Raw genomic sequence first — 17,313 nt, 5'->3', positions numbered from 1 at the left:
CTGCATCTGTGCTTGTAGGAGTGTGCCCGTGCCTGAGTCCTTTTTTCACTGTGTGTTTATGCGGGTGCATGTCTGTATGAATGTGGGTGTCCACCTGGGCTTGGCCCTGTGGGATGTGATGGAGCCAGGCTGAGGCCAGGGGAGGTTGCAGGGCCTCACTTACCTGAGCCTGACTTTGGGGACAACCTGCCTGAAAATTGGAGGGAAACTGGGAAGCGGGCAGAGTGGTCTGCCGGCCACTGTGACATTTATTCAGTGCCTACAAGGAGAAAGGGAGGACAATGTAGGTCTCAGCTCCATCCCCTAAGGAGCTTTGCATGCGGGGAGGCTGAATCTAGCATGAGAATTAGCTCCCCTGGAGGTGCCTGCAAAACACAGGGCATACTTGGTGACCTAGATGGCCTGGAGCAATCCTAGGAGGCTCCATGGAGGAGACAGTCCTGCCTGGAGGCTTGAGGGGGAGGTAAAGCCTTGGTCAGATAAGTTGGCTGAGAAAAAAGGGGGGCACTCAAAGGGCTCAAGGCACAGAAGAGCAGAGAATCAGGGGGAGAGGTGGGAGTACAGGGGCTCACTGGGAGTCCAGGGGTGAGGAGCAAGGCCAGACCCTCACGGTGGGCCGGGCACAGAGGCCCAGGTGCTGCCCAGCGGGGAAGGGTCACAGAAGTCTGAGCGGGGGTGAGGGTGGACTGGGGGTCCTTGACCTCCTGCCAACACCCACAGATGGGTGTGTGGGCACTGACTCAGGTACCCCTGCCTGCCCAGGAGCACTGGAGACCAGGATGCCCAGGGCACAGGCTGACCATAGGCACTCTCGCCTTTGGGTTCAGGGGCCTGTTTGGCAGCAGCTCAGGCTGCAGGCTCATCCCGACTCCCCCTTCCAAGACCCAGCAGTGCCCATGCTGCGCCAGCTGCGGTGCTCTTGTGCCATCAATGCCTCCTCTGTGGCCTGGGAGGGTGGGCCGGGTAAGGCCTGGGGCCCCAGCCAGCTCAGTCCCCTCTCCGGGTGGCACTGGGCTGGCCTCTTTGGCACTGGCCTTGGCATCTTAAATAGGCATGCTCCATCCCTAGGGCCCGGTGCCCTGGAAGCCCCCCAGTGAGGTGGGCCCTGTGGTGGCTTGTGAAATCCAGCTCAGAGAAAGCATCCCGAACACACACTCATCCAGGTGCACCAGGGCGGGCACGTGGGCACACGCTCAGGCATAGGAGGAAAACGTCTACACTCCAGCATCCCTTTCATATCAAGTCCCATTCACCCTCTAGAACCTGGTGTGCTGCTGGCTCCTTGTCCCCGGCTGCCTCTTCCCTGGTGGTACCCAGGCCTCTCTTAGGGCTCTGGAGCCCCTCACGCTGGTTACTGGTCTGCCTCTGTGGGCCGTTGCTCAAACCCCCCGCATTCCTGCCTATTCACGTGCCCACTCAGACCAAGCTCCTCCCCTCACCACCTCGTGCCACATTTGGGCTCAAGGACACATACTGCTTGTGGCCCCAGCTGCATGACCAGTGCCAAGCAGGGCCCCTCAGGAGCCCACCAGCGCTCACTGTGGACACCACTGCCCCCAGAGCCCAGGAGGGGAAGTGAGCAAAGGTGCCCATTTCTGACACGTAGAGGCTAAGCCTTGTGACTCGGGAGCCTAAGCCCCAATCCAAGCCATGCTTCCTCCCTACTAGTGACAGTAATTCCCTTCCAGGACAGCTCTGCCCACATTATACTATCTGACCCTCCCAACAAACAGGGACAGGCCATCATGTTGCCCCAAATCACAGCTGCCTAGCTGCCCACAGCAGCTCAAGCACAGGTTGGAACCAGGCCTGGGTTCCAGCTGCCCCTACAGGAGGGCACCACTCCCCGAATGCGGACCCCTCTGGCTTCTTCTCACTGCCCTGTAGCCGTGATCTCCCTCCTGCTCTGTGCCTCTGGTGGCTCCTTGCTCAGCATCTTCTGTGGCTCCCACTGACACCAGGACTAACTACTTGCTCAGCATTCAAGGTCCCTCCACCACCTGGCTGCATGCCGCTCCTCCCCCTTCCCCTCTCACTCTTCCTCCCCTTCCCCATCCTCCTCCTCCTCGCTGTGTGCCTCTCCCCCAACCTCTCTCATCGCCCCTCCAAGCCTTTGCCTGGCTCTTCTACCTCCCTCCCCTCCTGCCGCACCCAGTCTCCCTCTTGCCTTGAGAAGGGGGTGAGCTGTTAGGAAGGGCACCCAAGAGAACCATCCTGCTCCTCAACCATGCTCTGCCCAAGGCGGGGCTCCTGGTTCACACAGCGGGGTTTCCTCCCTGCTCCCCATGAAGCTCAGCCCCTGGCTTCTTAGGGACCAGCCCCAGCAGAAGACTGAGGCCTCCGAGTTGTGCAGGCTGCTGTGGTCCACTGCTGTCCTTGGGGCCCAGTGCCAGGCTGACCCTCTTCTGGAGCAGGTGTTGGCAGGGAGCTCAAGCAGCAAGGGAACTAGGAGGCAGCGCGGTGGGGAGGGCACCAGAGCTGCCATCCCCTGCCAGCACCACCTCTCTGGGCCCCTGGGAGCCGTTGCTAGGCTGGCACCCGGCAGCAGCAGGAGCACGTGCTCTCGCTCTCCTGCACGCACAGCCTGTCAGCTGCGCCCACAGCCCACATGGCAGGAGGCGGCTGCGGGCACGGGGCAGCTCTTTGCCTGGAGGGGGATGCCAACAGGCCAGTCAGACTCTAGGGGCAGGGGGGTGCATGCACAAACGGACAGAGCAGGGCCCTGGGGCCACAGAAAGGGAAGCCCTTCCATGACTCTCCAGGCAGATGGGGGTGAGTAAACGGGGGGGGGGGGGTTCCCACTCCTGACAACCCAGGGAGCCCAGCTGGTCTTCCTTAGCTTTTTTTTTTTTCTTCTTCTTTTTGGAGATGGAGTCTTGCTCTGTTGCCCAGGCTGGAGTGCAATGGTGCAATCATGACTCACTGTAGCCTCCAACACCCCAGGGTCAAGCAATCCTCCTGCCTTGGCCTCCTGAGCAGCTGGGACTACAGGCGTGAGCCACTGCAACAGTTTGTTCTTTGCCTTTGTTTGTCTGCATCCTATCTAGGGGACTACCCAGAGCCCTCCTGGCATTACTGGGGGCAAAGGGGCTGACAGGGGCTTCCTGACCCCTCATCCCTGGGTCTGCCTTTTTGATTCTGTCCGGGAGGCTGCAGTACAGAGGACTCTTCAAGGCCTCACATCTGGGAGCCTCCCCTCTTCTTCAGAGCCTCTCCAAGGGCCTTCATTCTAACCAGGAGCTCAGAGAGGGAGCCTGGGCCTGCTCCCAGCTCCTTGCGGGGTCATGGGCTCCATGACAAGCGCTTCCCCAGGGCAGGGCTCAGGATGAGTGTGGCCCAAGAAGGATTTAAGCCTTGGGCTTAGTGGGGACCAGATTGCCCAGACTGGGCCCTCCTGCCCTTCCTGCTGCAGTCTTGGGAGCAGATTTATGCCCTGGGCGTGGGTAGTGAGAGCCCAGAGCTGGGGTCTGTGGGGTAGGGGGGGGCATTCTGGGCAGCCTCTTCAGCTGGCAGAGGCTCCTGCCAAGCCATTTCCCCGCCCCGCCCCACCCCTCCACTCATTATCAACTTGGGGTTTGTGTGCAAACAGCAGCTGGTCTCTTTTGTCAGCCTCCCCTGCCCCCTCAGCCCCCCTACTCCTCCCCTCCTCCCCAGTGCCTCCCAACTGGCTCCTCCATATCAGGCCCTCCTCCTCCGCTTCCCCCCATCCAAGTGATTTAGAAGCTGGGGCCCTGGGGGATCCCAGAGGGAAGGCAGCCCCTGACCATTTTTGGCCCTGGGTCCCAAATTCTTCTCCAGAAGGTGATATTAAACCCATCTGGGATACCATGAGAGGCAGAGTGGGTAAGTAACCAAGCCAAAGTCACTAAGCAGGGCAAGGGCAGAGTCAGGATTCACACCCTGTGTGCCTGTTTGCAGAGCCTGTCTGCAGAGCCAGCCTGCTCCCAGCCTCGGCTGCCCCTCTGGTTGCCCCCAGGGCCTGGCCCTTCTTCTGCTGCTAGGGGCCCTGGGAAGGTGGACCCACTCCCAACCTCCTCGCCTGCATCACGGGCTTCAGCGGGAGTAATTCTGTGTGCCTGTAGTTGAAACAGGAAGGCAGGCAGGGCCAGATGGCAGGGCTTTGTCAGTTACACCCAGGAGCTGGGCTCTGTCAGTTATACCCAGGAGCTGGGACTGGACGCTGAGGGCAGCGCTGGGGAGCCCTCCCGGCAGTGGGTCCTACAGACTGGAGGCAGAGGGCTAAGGGACAGATTAGGAGATCAGGCCAAAAGGAGAAGAGTGTGGGCCAAGGCGCTGCCCCTGGGAGAACAGGGTAGGCTAGGCCTGAGAGCACAGGCTTGGCCCCAGCATACGGTGGGGTGCCACTAGGGTGACGAGGACACTCGGGTCTCTAGGGTGGGCAGTGGTGAGGATGGTGAGTCCTCCACAGAAATAGAAACACATGTGGCCAGTGGGTTGCTGCTGAGGACGTTGAATTTGAGAAAAACTGGTTGGAGGTGTTTGAGGGATATCTCCAGAGGACCCAGAAGAGAGGTGGGGCCAGGGCAAGGAGGTCTGAGATTGGCTGGCCTGGCAGAAGGTGGAGAGAATAAGGGGAGAAGGGGCTGAGGGTGGGGTCCTGAGCAGAAGGTGCAGAGGTCCAGGGAGGGGACTCCAGGAGGGAGACAGAGAGCAGGAGTGTCCCCTGGACCTGGGGATTAGGAAGAGGCAGGGGTGGGGCCTCTGTAGGCACCATGGCTCCTAGCTGGGTATTCTGCTCTTCACAGATTTTAGGGTTTTTTTGTTTTGTTTTGTTTTTGAGACTGAGTCTTGCTCTGTCGCCAGGATGGAGTGCAGTGGCGCGATCTCTGCTCACTGCAACCTCCAACTCCCTGGTTCAAGCGATTCTCCTGCCTGAGCCTCTCCAGTAGCTGGGACTACAGGTGCACGCCACCACGCCCAGCTAATTTAGCATTTTTAGTAGAGACTAGGTTTCACTACGTTGGCCAGGAGGGTCTTGATCTCCTGACCTCGTGACCCGCCCGCCTCAGCCTCCCAAAGTGCTGGGATTACAGGCGTGAGTCACCGCGCCCGGCCAGCTCTTTTAATCCTTACGACAGTCCTGACCTGGGAAACAGAGTTGACCCCGTTAACTATTATCGTGCCCATTTCACCGCTGAGAACACCGCGGCTCCGATTCAGTGAGTGACAGAGCCTCCACGCAGCCTCACACGGAACCAAGATCAGGCCTGGGGTGCCCGCGGAAGCTTGGGGACCAAGGCTTGTTGAGGGCCCCTTGCAGCACTGTAAGTGAGCCCTGCCGGGCGCTGGGGCTCTCTGCTGGGGAGGCCTCAGACCCAGACCAAAAAGGGACCACTACCGGGGTGGGGGTGGCGTCACAGACGATGCACCCCCAAAACGGGTCTGGAAGGAAGGCTGGAATGTACGTGAAAAGAAGTTAGGCCATGGCAGCAGCGTGGGCAAAGCAAGGAGGCTGAGAGTGAGGAGAGCCGCAGCCCGGGAAGGGAAGGTGGGGCCCGGGCTGGACACTGCCCGGGTCCTGGATTCCTCCGTTGCCCTCTGCCCCTGGTCAAAGTTCAGTCCCTCCAAAGGGCTCTTCTGGGAGCTTTGGCCAGGCCCTCCGAAGCGCCCGGGGCCGCCAAGGGCACACGAGCGTGCCCAGCCACAAGCGGGCCTGTGCCTGGCGTTGGGGCCCGGAGTGCGCCCGGGGCGGGCGCAGCCCACACGCGTCCACACGGCAGGGTCCGCGCGGGCCGGAAGCCGCAGGGCCGGAGCGGGGCGCCCGGGAAGGCAGAGGGGAGCGGGAACAAAGGACGCAGCGGAGCGGGGGCGGTCCGGCCAGGCAGTGATTGGAGGCCGGGGTCGGGGGCAGCGTCCGGGCCGGGCAGTGATTGGGCCGCAGCCTCCCCGGGGCCCCCAGGCGCTCGCCCCGCCCCTCTCGGCCGAAACCCGAGCCCCCAGCGGCGGCCCGGGACCAGCCCGCGCCGCCGCCATCTGCGCCGGGGCGGGGCGCGGGCCCAGAGTCGGGTTCCCGCCCAGCCTCCGCCGCCTGCCCCCGCCGCGGTCCGGCAACCTGTGCACCGGCCTCCCCCGCTGCCACCCCCGGCCCAGCTGCGCTCGGAGTCCCCGGGGTCCAAGCAGGGGCTGGGCCACCGCTGTGGGGGAAAAGCCCGATGGGCACGGGACGGGGCCCAGAAAGCGACTCCGTCCTGGGCCTGGCCGTGGCTGGTGGCTGGACTGGGAGAGCGCTCAGAGAACAGGGGACATTGGAGAGGGCGGGTTGGGGTAAGACCAGTTAGTGGAGGAGGCCGCAGGCTGAAAGACGGCTCAGGGAGGGGTGATTCGATGGCCGGAGCCCCAGCAGCTCCAGGAGTCACTGGGACCGAAGGCGGCGCCAGAATGCCAAGCGGGGGCCCGGCAGGGTTTGGAGCAGGAGAGGTTGTTAGCAGTTCACTACCAGCCAGGCCACTGCTGCGTGGTTAAAGGCGGGATGAGGGGCCTTCTCCATTCCCTGCGTCTTTCCCAGCGGCCTGGGAGGTGAGAGAAGGGGTGGGGCTTGGGCTGGGCCGCCAATCACAGCCTCGGCTCCACTTTGAATCTGTGCTGGCGGGCGCGGGCTGCCTGGCCGCCAGGTGTGCCGGCGCCCTCTTTGTCCCCACTTGCCTGCCCAGGCACGTCCCACTCCAACCCCACCTTTCTGGAGGCTCTGTTCCTCACACAGCTGGTTCCCGCCTCCCCAGGTGTCCCCAGCCTGGAATGAAGTTGGACTCAGATTCTGCCCCTTTGAATGCTGGTGACTCTAAACCATGCCTCATGCAGCCCCATCCCCAGTCCGGCACAGGGGTCATCATCCGCAAGGGACAGCTACTTCCATCCCCTAGATGGCCACCAAGGGTCCGGTAGTGCAGGGAACAGGGCGGCGTGGGAGTAAGAGCTCATGATTTGCGGCAAAAATCATGGCAGAGGGCTGGCCCAGGGAGGAGCCGTGTGACCTGGGGCAATCCCCTTCCTTCCCACGTGGCTCCTGCAGTTGTAAGACTAATATAATAAGGGCCTATCTCCCAAATTGCTGTGAAGATTAGATGGGATCCTATAGAAAAGAGGGCTTTAGGCCGGGCGCAGTGGCTCACGCCTGTAATCCCAGCACTTTGAGAGGCCGAGGCGGGCAGATCACGAGGTCAGGAGATTGAGACCACACTGGCTAACACGGTGAAACCCCATCTCTAGTAAAAATACAAAAAATTAGCCGGGCACGGTGGCTCAAGCCTGTAATCCCAGCACTTTGGGAGGCCGAGGCGGGCGGGTCACAAGGGCAGGAGATCGAGACCATCCTGGCTAACACGGTGAAACCGCGTCTCTACTAAAAATACAAAAAAAGTAGCCGGGCGTGGTGGCAGGCACCTGTAGCCCCAGCTACTCAGGAGGCTGAGGCAGGAGAATTGCTTAAACCTGGGAGATGGAGGTTGCAGTGAGCTGAGATCGTGCCACCGTGCTCCAGCCTGGGCGACAGAGCGAGACTCCATCTCAAAAAAAATAAATAAATAAAAATGAGAAGAGGGCTTTGTGGGAGTAAAGCCTCAACATGTGTAGGGAGGTGGAAGGGTGTTATCACTCTGCCCAGATGCTGGGGGACTGGCAGCCACAGAGTGGGTAGGCCCCTTGTCCCCAACGCATGGGCCAGGGCTAGGGTGCCAGGCCGGATGGGAGAGACCAGTCCAGAGGCCCATCGCTGTGGAGCCCTGAGCCCCATGAGCCCCGAGCCCCATGAGCCCCAAACAGAAGGGAGCCAGAGTTTAGGGACCTGGCCCTCACACCTCCCCAAGCTCTCCAAGAAAGATGAGGCAGAGGGATCTGGGGGCTGTTTGTCCTTTATCTTCATCCCTGGGGATATGGAGGCCCTCTCCCAGGTCAAGGCCAGAGGGTAGGCCTGGGCCCCCATGCTTCTCCTCCACTCAGATGCCCCACACGCCCCTACCTCTCCTGTTCTGCTCCCCAGCCACTGCCTTGGCCTCCTCCACTCATGCACTGGAACCAGCCTGCTCATGATTGACCCCTACTCCTTGCTAACTATGCCTCAGTTTCCCCATCTGTAAAATGAGAATGACGATAACAACAGGGCAGTTTTCTGAGTGCTTTACACATACTCCTGCTGAGCAGTTCAATCCCTACAACAGCCTGGTGGAGTAGTAACTCTCATTATGTCTCCCTTACTGTACCAATAATAAGTAGAATAATGGAAGTTATACTGGATATCTAGTTCATACACTCATGGAGTAAATGAATTAATGCATGTCACAAAACAAAAAACAAAAAACTCTGGGCCAGACGCAGTGGATCACGCCTGTAATCCCAGCACTGTGGGAGGCCGAGGTAGGTCACAAGTTCAGGAGTTCAAGACCAGCCTGGCTAAGATGGTGAAACCCCGTCTCTACTAAAAATACAAAAATTAGCCGGGTGTGGTGGTGGGCGCCTGTAATCCCGGCTACTCGGGAGGCTGAGGCAGGAGAATCGCTTGAACCCAGGAGGTGGAGGTTGCAGTGAGCCAAGATGGCACCACTGCACTCCAGCCTGGGCAACAGAGCAAGACTCCATCTAAAAAAAAAAAAAAAACAACCAACTCTGGGCCGGGCTCGGTGGCTCACACCTGTAATCCCAGCACTTTGGGAGGCCGAGGCGGGCAGATCACCTGAGCTCAGGAGTTCAAGACCAGCCTGACCAACACAGTGAAACCCCATCTCTACTAAAAATACAAAATTAGCCAGGCATAGTGGTGCATGCCTGTAATCTCAGCCACTCAGGAGGCTGAGGCAGGAGAATTGCTTGAACCCAGGAGGCAGAGGTTGCGGTGAGCCGAGATTGCCCCATTGCACTCCAGCCTGGGCAACAAGAGCGAAACTCCGTCTCGAAAAAGAAAAAACAAAACAAAACAAAACAAAAAAACTCTGGAACAGCTTGGAACACTGCTGATACTCAGTACAGTCTAGCTGGGTTTTTTTTTTTTTTACCCAGCCCCTCCTACCAACACCTTTCCCCAAAATCTAACCTCCATTCCCACCGGACTTTAGGCACACACCTCTTCCCTTGCCTTAATCGCCTTTCCCCTACTTTCCCCCACCTTTCTTCTCTGTGTCCCAGGACCTGGCACAAACGGGTGCTTAATACATGTTTCAGAATGAATGAATGAGGAGGGTTTTGGAAGGAGGCTGGCTGAAGGGATTATTTGATGCTCATCCGCCCTCTGGTGGTCATCAGGGGCATTTCAGGCCTCGGCTCAGCGTTTAAAACAGGAAGGTGGCCAGACAAGGTAGCTCATGCCTGTCATCCCAGTGCTTTGCTTTGGGAGGCTGAGGCAGGGGGATCGCTTGAGCCCAGGAGTTCAAGAGCAGCCTAGGGAACATAGTGAGACCCCTCCCCCCGCAATTTCTGCAAAAAAAAAAAAAAAGTTTTAATTAGTCAGGTGGCCAGGTGTGGTGGCTGACTCCCGCAGTCCCAACTAATTGGGAGGCTGAGGTGAGAGGATCGCTGGAGCCTAGGAAGCTGAGGCTGCAGCGAGCCATGAGCTGTGACGGCGCCACTGCACTCCAGCCTGGGTGACAGAGAGCTTGTCTCAAAAATAATAATATTGGCCAGGCGTGGTGGCTCATGCCTGTAATCCCAGCACTTTGGGAGGCCGAGGCGGGCAGATCACGCACGAGGTCAGAAGATCGAGACCATCCTGGCTAACACGGTGAAACCCCATCTCTACTAAAAATACAAAAAATTAGCCGGACGTGGTGGCGGGTGCCTGTAGTCCCAGCTACTCAGGAGGCTGAGACAGGAGAATGTCATGAACCCGGGAGACGGAGTTTGCAGTGAGCTGAGATCATGCCCTGCACTCCAGCCTGGGCGACAGAGCAAGACTCCATCTCAAAAAAAATAAAATACAATAAATAATAATAATAATAATAATAATAACTAACTAACTAAAATGGGAGGGCAGGCTGGGCACAGTGGCTCACGCCTGTAATCCCAGCACCTCGGGAAGCCAAAGGGGGCAGATCATCTGAGGTCTGGAGTTCGAGACCAGCCTGGCCAACATGGTGAAACCCTGTCTCTACTCAAAATACAAAAAAAAAGTAGCCAGGTGCGGTGGCACGTGCCTGTAGTCCCAGCTACTTAGGGAGCTGAGGCAGGAGGATTGCTTGAACTCGGGAGGTGGAGGTTGCAGTGAGCCGAGATCTCACCATTGCACTCCAGCCTGGGTGACAGAGCAAGACTCTGTCTCAAAAAAAAAAAATATATATATATATATATATATAAATAAATAAATAAATAAAATGGAAGGACAGAAGACAGAAGGCAGGCGGGGCCCCAGAAGGTGGGTGGCAGCCACCTGAGGACAGAGTCTGCAGCCCAGGGGCCGGATCCCAGGGCTTAGGCCCTGCGTGTCTGTGGGACTGCAGGGATTTTCAGCTCCTGAGCCAGCTCCTCCTTTCTTCCCCTTCTCTCTGAGACCCCCTTTCATGTGCGTGTGTTTGTCTGTATTGTGTGTGCGTGTGTCTGTGTCTCTCTGTGTGTGTCGTGTGTGTGCTTGTCATTGTGAGCTGAACTGTGTGACCAAGAGGCCAGGTGTTCAACTGTGTCTGCACAGATGGTGGCAGCAGGTTTTGTCTTTGGAAGATGTATATGTGGGTGGAGCCGTGTGTGATTGAACCCACATTCATGGATGTGTTCCCTGCTTGTGCATGGCTGTCACCAGGAACCTGTCTGGGTCTGAGAATGCTGGAGCTCAGCCTGCCAGTAAGCCGAGAGTGGGCCACAACCTGTCACTGGAACTTTCTGGATCTTGGTTCACTCAATGGTGTCTAGGTGCCTGTGGTCTAGAAGGACCAGTACCCAAGCCCTGAGTCTTGTACACATCTTGCTGTTGGCAGGTATCAGGGCCCCTGGGTGCCTGTGTGTGCTGTTTTTGGGGGAAGCTGGGTCCTGCCTTCCTGTTTCTCATGTGTATGCATTCCCTGTGTTCCAGCTGCAATTGCGGAGCGCCTGCTGTGCATGCTTCTGGGGTAAGAAGGCGTTGCACATCCTCGTTGATGAGCATCTCACGAGTATACTCGTGGCTCTCTAGTTACTTGGCCAAGTCATCTTCCTGTGCACAGGCAGGCTTGCATAAGAGCAAAGAGCTAAAGGCCGGACATGGTGGCTCACGCCTGTAATCCCAGCACTTTGGGAGGCCGAGGCGGGCAGATCACGAGGTCAGGAGATCGAGACCATCGTGGCTAACACAGTGAAACCCCGTCTCTACTAAAAATAACAAAAAAATTAGCCAGGCACGGTGGCGGGTGCCTGTAGTCCCAGCTACTCGGGAGGCTGTGGCAGGAGAATGGCGTGAACCGGGGAGGCGGAGCTTGCAGTGAGCCAAGATTGCGCCACTGCACTCCAGCCTGGGCGACACAGCGAGACTCCATCTCAAAAAAAAAAAAAAGAGCAAAGAGCTGGGAGGCAGACATATTTGAGTTCAAGTTCAGGCTTTGTCTAGCTGTGTGATTCTAGACAAAGGATTTAACTTCAGCCTCAGTTTCCTCATCTGCTAAATGGGGAGAATCAGAGTGCCTAACTCCTAGGCTGTTGTGAGAAGTAAATGAGACGAGGGATGGAAAGCCTTGAGCATGGTGACAGGCACACAGAGGCATGTTATACATGATAGTGGTTACTGGTGCATTTCTGGCTTCGAGCTGGGCCTCTGGGCTGTTTCCTGTCCCCATATCTCTGTGTCCTGTGACCCATGACACATGGCAGAGTGTGTCATTCTAAACCCTGCCACAGCTTTAGAATGGCTGCAAGCAGTTCCCCCACAGCCTGCTAAGAATACTTTACAACACCTGGGCTGCAAAGCCGCTGGCTTCCTACAGACGCAAATCCACATACAGGTGGCCTGATTTTCCAAATCCCAAGTCAGAACACCTGGTCCGACCAGGGAGCTGTATTTATGGGGCGGAAGGGGCGAGCTGTTTGCAGTGAGTCTTTGCCGGACTCCCCCGTTTCTGGCCTTCGTGCATTTGGCCACCTGGGGGAGCCCCTGTGCCCTTCAGTCGGAGGGTAGAGGGGCCGTGTGGGAGGGGAGGGGTGCCAGGAGTCCAGAGGGGTTTGCAGGCTGACGGGGCATCCTTCTGGAGCCAGGCCAGGAGTTAACCCATCTGCTGCCAGCCCCCAGCCCTCACGTCCCAGGGCTCTGGGTGGAGATGCCCAGGGTGGGGTAAGGTCGAGGGGATTCGTCCTCCTTGAGACCAGTGGCAGCAGACAGAACACGGTGTTCCGTACAAATGGTCGAGGCCCTCAAAACGCGCCTGCCCCTTGCTTGGAAGAGTAATGCGCTGAGCTGTGTGGGAATGTGTGTGGCTGCTTGGGTCACTGGGACTCCCAGATCAGCCCAAATGCCTGAGGACTTATGAAGCCCTCTGCAAACCTCTCACTGTGGCTGAAAGCACTGGTGCCAGAGTCCATTGGGCAAATCTCAGCCCCCTGGGTGTGCAGCAGCTGCCTGGATGTGTGCCTCTAAGTCCTCACAGGACCCAGAGGCCAATTCCACGTTACCAACCTCACTTTATGCCTGAGGAAACCAAGGCCATCCAGCTGGTACACAGTGAGGCCTCTTTGCACCCAGGGTGCCCTATGCCAGCCTTTGTTCCCAGCCTCCCCACTTCCACTCTCAGAGGGAAGGCAGAAAGAAGGCCCAGGCAGAAAGAAGGGCCTGTGGTGAGGACAGGAGGGCAGAGAGGCAGGCCTGGAGAAACGGGCACCCATGGGGCGGAGAAGAGGAGGGCTCAAAAGACGTGGATGTGGAGCCAGGTAGGTGGGGTTGGCTGGACCAGACTCTGCAGAAGATCCTGGGAGCAGCCGCAGGAGGCCAGCTGCTGAGGAATGAGGAAGGGAGAAGGAGGGGCAGATGGGGTGTGGACATCTCTTTCAAGAAGGAGGCTGCGGGGCCGTGCTTGGTGGCTCACGCCTGTAATCCCAGCACTTTGGGAGGCCGAGGCGGGCGGATCACTTGAGGTCAGGAGTTTGGGACCAGCCTGGCCAACACAGTGAAACTCGGGAAACCCATCTCTACTAAAAATATCAAAAAATTAGCTGGGTGTGGTGGTGGGCGCCTGTAATCCCAGCTACTTGGAGGCTGAGGCAGGAGAATCGCTTCAATCCAGGAAGAGGAGGTTGCAGTGAGCCGAGATCTTGCCACCGCACTCCAGCCTAGGCAACAGAGCAAAACTCCATCTGGAAGGAGAAGGAAAAAATATATATATATATATATGGAGGCTGTGAAGTCAGGGAAGCAGGAGGGAGGTGGGCTAGAGTACCCTGTGTGAACACAAGACCGACCTGGAGGAAGCCAACAGGACGGACAAATACAGTCAAGGGCCAGCACTGTGGTGGAGCCTGGCTGGGAGGGGTCAGACACACCTCCGTTTCCTCACTGAGGACTGGGATTGGGAGCTGTTTGCCGGTGAGAGGCAGGAAGTGGGATGCCCTGGCGTGGGGGGCGGGCCCTCTTTTCCCTGGGGGATGGGAGGAGAAGGAGCCTAAGAGGATGGGTGGGGAAGGGGAGGGAGCAGGGATTCCCCAGTGGCCCAGGGTTGGGGGGCCTTGGAAGTGAGAGCTCTGTGGGGGCTTCAGTCCCCAGAGTCAGTGCCTCAGGAGGGGCCATGCCTTTCAGGGACCAGGTTCTGGGGTCCCAAGGATGGGCCGGACCTTCTAGACCCGGCCTCCCAGATCTGAGTCTCCTCCCCCAAACGCCTCCTTCCTCCGAGGCTCTGACCAAGCTCTTAGGGGAGATTTCAAGGACCCTCCAGAACCAGGGCTCACTGATTTGGTGGAAAACAAGGTCTGCCGTGAAATCAGAACGTCGGTCCCTGCCCAGGGCTTTCAGACCTCCCCCAGTATGGAAAGAGAAAGGGCTTTCAGACTGTCGGGTGGGGCCCGGGCTAGGGTGATTTTGGCGCCTCCAGCAGGCCGGAGGGAAGCAGCTTGCGGGTGGGCCCTCCCTCCAGATCTGCCCTCAGGCCAGGCCCCTCCCTTTCAGGCCTCCTGTTTCTCCTGTGCCTCTCCCTGAACATTCCCAGGTTCACCTGAGCCTCACTGTGTGCAGGGGGTGCTCTGGACCCATCTCATTCCATTCAGCCCTGAGCCAGGTGCCCCTGCCATGCACTCCTGGGGGAGCTGGGCCTGAGGGCGGCCCTGCCTGCTGATACTGGGAAGCCCCTCCCTGGCCCAGCCCTGGGACAGATGGCCCACTGCCCGCACTGTGTGCTCCTCAGTAAACCCCCGTGGGGGCCCCTCGTCTCCTCCTTGTGGCCTCCCCAGTCTCCCCGTCACATTCGGAGAAGCAGTGAGCTGAAAGAGACAACATCTGGGACTCCCCAGGGTCCCCGTGGCCCAGCTGTCTGCCACCCGCAGCCTCAGGGGACTGCTACCCACCCAGTGCTGGCGTCACCCTGCCCAGCATCCTTTGAGGCAGGGTCCCAAGCTTAGTTCCCTCCTGGCCCAGGATCTTTCAGGCAAGAAAGAGCTATGTGGATGGCCGGGTGCAGTGGCTCATGGCTGTAATCCCTGCACTTTAGGGGGCCTAGGTGGGTGGATCACCTGAGGTCAGGAGTTCAAGACCATCCTGGCCAACATGATTAAACCCCGTCTCTACTAAAAATACAAAAAATTAGCTGGGCAAAAAAAAAGAGCTATGTGGGCCTGGCTTACCACCCTGCAGTGGTCCCTGTTATGAAGGCGGGGGAGGGGTTCCCAGCCAGCTCCTCAAAGGTCTGCCCACATCAGCCCCTAGACACACAGGGCCACCTCAGCCCCAGACTGAAAGTCTGCCCTGAGCCTGGGGAAACAGACATCACTGATGGTCTGTGGGATGACTCCACTTGGGACAGGAGTGATTTCAGGAAAGGCAGAATGCTATGAATTCCCTCGGGCGGAGACCGAGGGCTCGCGGCTCCGAAGAGAAAGGGCCGTCTGCTCAGCTGGGTCCTGCCCCAGAGGTTAGCGCTGCTGTGCTCCATCAGGTGCCCAGCCCACTCCTCTCTTGAGGACACCCAGGGACCAGGCCATGCGCGCTCTTTTCGGCATCTGGGTGTGGCTGGCCCTTGTCAGGAGAGAAGGAACAAACAACTGAGTGATTTGCATACGGGGCCATGTTTGCATTTTGCACCCAGGCTCTGGTCCTGACCTCTGGTCCTGCCCACTCAGCTCAGCCGGCTCAGGTGGCTCACGCTCTCACAGGCAGAAAAATTACATGCTGGCTGGCAGAGCTGGGACTGAGCACTGGGGGCCGGCTGGCAGAGTGAACTGCCCCAGGCTCTCTAGCCAGTGAGCGCCGGTGGGCTCTGTCCTGGAACCCCAGGGCTCTTTCAGAGTACACAGCCTGCCTTGGACGGGACTGCAGGTGTGTTCCAGGGGGATCCCTGAGGCCTGGGGAGGTAGCCAGAGGGCTTAGCCTAGGAGGCAGTTCCTCAGACCAGCCACTGTTGCAAAGCCACACTTCCTGCAGGAAGGAGGGTGAGGTGGGCGCAGCCTCTGCTTGGAGTCAGCAGTGCAGGTCTGGGTGTGGGGCCAACTCTCCTTGGCACATCTGGGCAGGCGCTTTCTCAGGCCCGACCAGCCCTTGTGGCATGGGAGCCGAGCTGGTGTCCTCCTGGAGCTGGGCTCAACCGGCCACCTTCTGCTGGGACACAGCTGGTGTCTGCTGACCTGACAGGTCTTGGGAGCCTTTGGGCAGTAACGCCTCCCCCTCTGGGGCCTCTCTCCTGAGTCTTCCTTTCCTTTTCAGGGTGGGGCAAATTTTATTTTCCTTTGGCTTCCCTGCACCAACAGGGGTTTCCTCTCTGTCACAATGATCCCCAGTGGGACTCAGCAGGGAGCAATGGCCCTGACCCACCCCATCCCCTCCCATTCCCCCCCACCCAACCCTGCCTGAGCCTCTGTGGCCACCAGGTGGCCTGTTGAGGGACGGTGCCACAAAACCCCTTCAGGGGAGGAAAACCTCTCTGGTTTTCCAGAGGCCCCAGTTCCTTCCTGGGATAGTCTGGATCTCACTCCTTCTGCCTTTGGACTACAAGTTCAGATCCAGCCTGGTCTTAGCCAGAGCCTCCTCCCTGCCCTTCATCAAATCTGCAACCTGTGTGGCCGGGCGTGGTGGCTCACGCCTGTAATCCCAGCACTTTGGAAAGCCAAGGCAGGTGGATCACCTGAGGTCAGGAGTTCAAGACCAGCCTGGCCAACATGGTGAAACCCTGTCTCTACTAAAACTACAAACATTAGCCGGGCGTGGTGGCGGGCACCTGTAATTCCAGCTACTTGGGAGGCTCAGGCAGGAGAATCGCTTGAACCCGGGAGGCAGAGGTTGCAGTGAGCCAAGATTGCACCACTGCACTCCAGCCTGGGCAACAAGAGTGAAACTCCATCTCAAAAAAAAAAAAAAAGACCTGCAACCTGTGGGCTGGGGTGAGAGGGATGAGTTTGACCTGGCCCCTCACGGCAGAGGGGACCAGGACCCCCCAGCGTCCCAGGTGCCATATGAAGTCTGCCAGCCACCAGCCTGTGGCAGTTCCCCACCTCCTAGCCCTTGGGAGTCAGTCAGCAAACACTTATTAACCCAGAACTGTGTGTTCACAACTACCTCATGCCTATGTGGCTCTCTGGGCCGGCAAAGCTGAGCCACAGTGCCTGGAAGCCCTGGGGCCCAGGGGCTCCTCCACCCACAGTCAGACAACTGCTGATGACCTGGTTATGGGTCTCTCAGCTTGGGGACTGGGAGACCCCCAATGCCAGGTCTCGCTCACTGAGGAAACTAAGCAAGGGGCACACTCTGGCATCTTCTTGCCCCACAACGAGACTGTTGGCCCCTTGAACAGGTTCCACCTAGGAGGGCCTGGGGCTGCCCTCTTCCAAGGTGTGGTACCATTGCCATACAAAGCAAGGAGCCCCATGCTTTGCTAAAACTCTGGAAGTTAAAGTTGCATCTCTGCTGCACCAAGGACCAGCCTGGGGCTCAGAGAGATGCACCTATGGCGTGATGCTGAAATAAGCCCTCGCAGGGCAGGTTGTGCGGACAGCAGCATGGAGTGCACCCCGAGGGGTGGCATGCCCCACTCCACTTCTGTGCCATTCAGGACAGTCCTGGAAAACTGAGTTCACTGCAGAGGGCCCACTGCTCAAAAGAACTCTGCAACCTGCATGTGGTAGAGGCGTGGGAAGGATGAGGAATGTTCTGGAAACCCTGTCTGTCATATGTGAGATGGTGCTGTATAGCCTAGAGTAGATGACTGCAAGGCAGCACCA

The 17,313-nt window shown here is 58.5% G+C and overlaps 20 annotated features.

The window, feature by feature from the left end:
• Positions 295–1,020: an enhancer, noted in NCBI's record as "H3K4me1 hESC enhancer chr2:232550745-232551470 (GRCh37/hg19 assembly coordinates)". NCBI's record gives its function as "activates a minimal SCP1, AML or CMV promoter by ChIP-STARR-seq in primed H9 embryonic stem cells {active_cell/tissue: H9 hESC(primed)}" and the evidence as "EXISTENCE:reporter gene assay evidence [ECO:0000049][PMID:30033119]".
• Positions 1,624–1,673: an enhancer, noted in NCBI's record as "active region_17310". NCBI's record gives its function as "activates an Ori minimal core promoter by ATAC-STARR-seq in GM12878 lymphoblastoid cells {active_cell/tissue: GM12878}" and the evidence as "EXISTENCE:reporter gene assay evidence [ECO:0000049][PMID:35858748]".
• Positions 4,708–5,499: an enhancer, noted in NCBI's record as "NANOG-H3K27ac-H3K4me1 hESC enhancer chr2:232546266-232547057 (GRCh37/hg19 assembly coordinates)". NCBI's record gives its function as "activates a minimal SCP1, AML or CMV promoter by ChIP-STARR-seq in naive and primed H9 embryonic stem cells {active_cell/tissue: H9 hESC(naive and primed)}" and the evidence as "EXISTENCE:reporter gene assay evidence [ECO:0000049][PMID:30033119]".
• Positions 5,539–6,258: a silencer, noted in NCBI's record as "silent region_12439". NCBI's record gives its function as "represses an Ori minimal core promoter by ATAC-STARR-seq in GM12878 lymphoblastoid cells {active_cell/tissue: GM12878}" and the evidence as "EXISTENCE:reporter gene assay evidence [ECO:0000049][PMID:35858748]".
• Positions 6,293–7,085: an enhancer, noted in NCBI's record as "NANOG-H3K27ac-H3K4me1 hESC enhancer chr2:232544680-232545472 (GRCh37/hg19 assembly coordinates)". NCBI's record gives its function as "activates a minimal SCP1, AML or CMV promoter by ChIP-STARR-seq in naive H9 embryonic stem cells {active_cell/tissue: H9 hESC(naive)}" and the evidence as "EXISTENCE:reporter gene assay evidence [ECO:0000049][PMID:30033119]".
• Positions 6,293–7,128: a biological region, named in NCBI's record as "NANOG-H3K27ac-H3K4me1 hESC enhancer GRCh37_chr2:232544680-232545472".
• Positions 6,649–6,728: an enhancer, noted in NCBI's record as "active region_17309". NCBI's record gives its function as "activates an Ori minimal core promoter by ATAC-STARR-seq in GM12878 lymphoblastoid cells {active_cell/tissue: GM12878}" and the evidence as "EXISTENCE:reporter gene assay evidence [ECO:0000049][PMID:35858748]".
• Positions 6,799–6,888: an enhancer, noted in NCBI's record as "active region_17308". NCBI's record gives its function as "activates an Ori minimal core promoter by ATAC-STARR-seq in GM12878 lymphoblastoid cells {active_cell/tissue: GM12878}" and the evidence as "EXISTENCE:reporter gene assay evidence [ECO:0000049][PMID:35858748]".
• Positions 7,049–7,128: an enhancer, noted in NCBI's record as "active region_17307". NCBI's record gives its function as "activates an Ori minimal core promoter by ATAC-STARR-seq in GM12878 lymphoblastoid cells {active_cell/tissue: GM12878}" and the evidence as "EXISTENCE:reporter gene assay evidence [ECO:0000049][PMID:35858748]".
• Positions 11,734–11,983: an enhancer, noted in NCBI's record as "active region_17306". NCBI's record gives its function as "activates an Ori minimal core promoter by ATAC-STARR-seq in GM12878 lymphoblastoid cells {active_cell/tissue: GM12878}" and the evidence as "EXISTENCE:reporter gene assay evidence [ECO:0000049][PMID:35858748]".
• Positions 11,734–12,197: a biological region, named in NCBI's record as "Sharpr-MPRA regulatory region 275".
• Positions 11,903–12,197: an enhancer, noted in NCBI's record as "tiled region #275; HepG2 Activating DNase unmatched - State 4:PromP". NCBI's record gives its function as "activates a minimal TATA promoter and a strong SV40 promoter by Sharpr-MPRA in HepG2 cells {active_cell/tissue: HepG2}" and the evidence as "EXISTENCE:reporter gene assay evidence [ECO:0000049][PMID:27701403]".
• Positions 13,487–14,209: an enhancer, noted in NCBI's record as "H3K27ac-H3K4me1 hESC enhancer chr2:232537557-232538279 (GRCh37/hg19 assembly coordinates)". NCBI's record gives its function as "activates a minimal SCP1, AML or CMV promoter by ChIP-STARR-seq in naive H9 embryonic stem cells {active_cell/tissue: H9 hESC(naive)}" and the evidence as "EXISTENCE:reporter gene assay evidence [ECO:0000049][PMID:30033119]".
• Positions 13,487–17,313: part of a biological region, named in NCBI's record as "RN7SL499P-PTMA intergenic region enhancers", that runs on past the window's edge.
• Positions 13,807–14,919: an enhancer, noted in NCBI's record as "amplified fragment containing the chr2:232536847-232537960 (GRCh37) CAGE-defined region". NCBI's record gives its function as "transcribed enhancer that actives a basal EF1alpha promoter by reporter assays in Daudi B cells {active_cell/tissue: Daudi}" and the evidence as "EXISTENCE:reporter gene assay evidence [ECO:0000049][PMID:24670763]".
• Positions 14,196–14,245: an enhancer, noted in NCBI's record as "active region_17305". NCBI's record gives its function as "activates an Ori minimal core promoter by ATAC-STARR-seq in GM12878 lymphoblastoid cells {active_cell/tissue: GM12878}" and the evidence as "EXISTENCE:reporter gene assay evidence [ECO:0000049][PMID:35858748]".
• Positions 14,746–14,795: an enhancer, noted in NCBI's record as "active region_17304". NCBI's record gives its function as "activates an Ori minimal core promoter by ATAC-STARR-seq in GM12878 lymphoblastoid cells {active_cell/tissue: GM12878}" and the evidence as "EXISTENCE:reporter gene assay evidence [ECO:0000049][PMID:35858748]".
• Positions 14,896–14,945: an enhancer, noted in NCBI's record as "active region_17303". NCBI's record gives its function as "activates an Ori minimal core promoter by ATAC-STARR-seq in GM12878 lymphoblastoid cells {active_cell/tissue: GM12878}" and the evidence as "EXISTENCE:reporter gene assay evidence [ECO:0000049][PMID:35858748]".
• Positions 15,786–15,835: a silencer, noted in NCBI's record as "silent region_12438". NCBI's record gives its function as "represses an Ori minimal core promoter by ATAC-STARR-seq in GM12878 lymphoblastoid cells {active_cell/tissue: GM12878}" and the evidence as "EXISTENCE:reporter gene assay evidence [ECO:0000049][PMID:35858748]".
• Positions 15,896–16,035: a silencer, noted in NCBI's record as "silent region_12437". NCBI's record gives its function as "represses an Ori minimal core promoter by ATAC-STARR-seq in GM12878 lymphoblastoid cells {active_cell/tissue: GM12878}" and the evidence as "EXISTENCE:reporter gene assay evidence [ECO:0000049][PMID:35858748]".

The sequence above is a fragment of the Homo sapiens genome, chromosome 2 (genome assembly GCF_000001405.40).
Source record: "Homo sapiens chromosome 2, GRCh38.p14 Primary Assembly".
Taxonomy (NCBI): Eukaryota; Metazoa; Chordata; class Mammalia; order Primates; family Hominidae; genus Homo; species Homo sapiens.
This window is presented reverse-complemented; position numbering and strand designations above follow the sequence as displayed.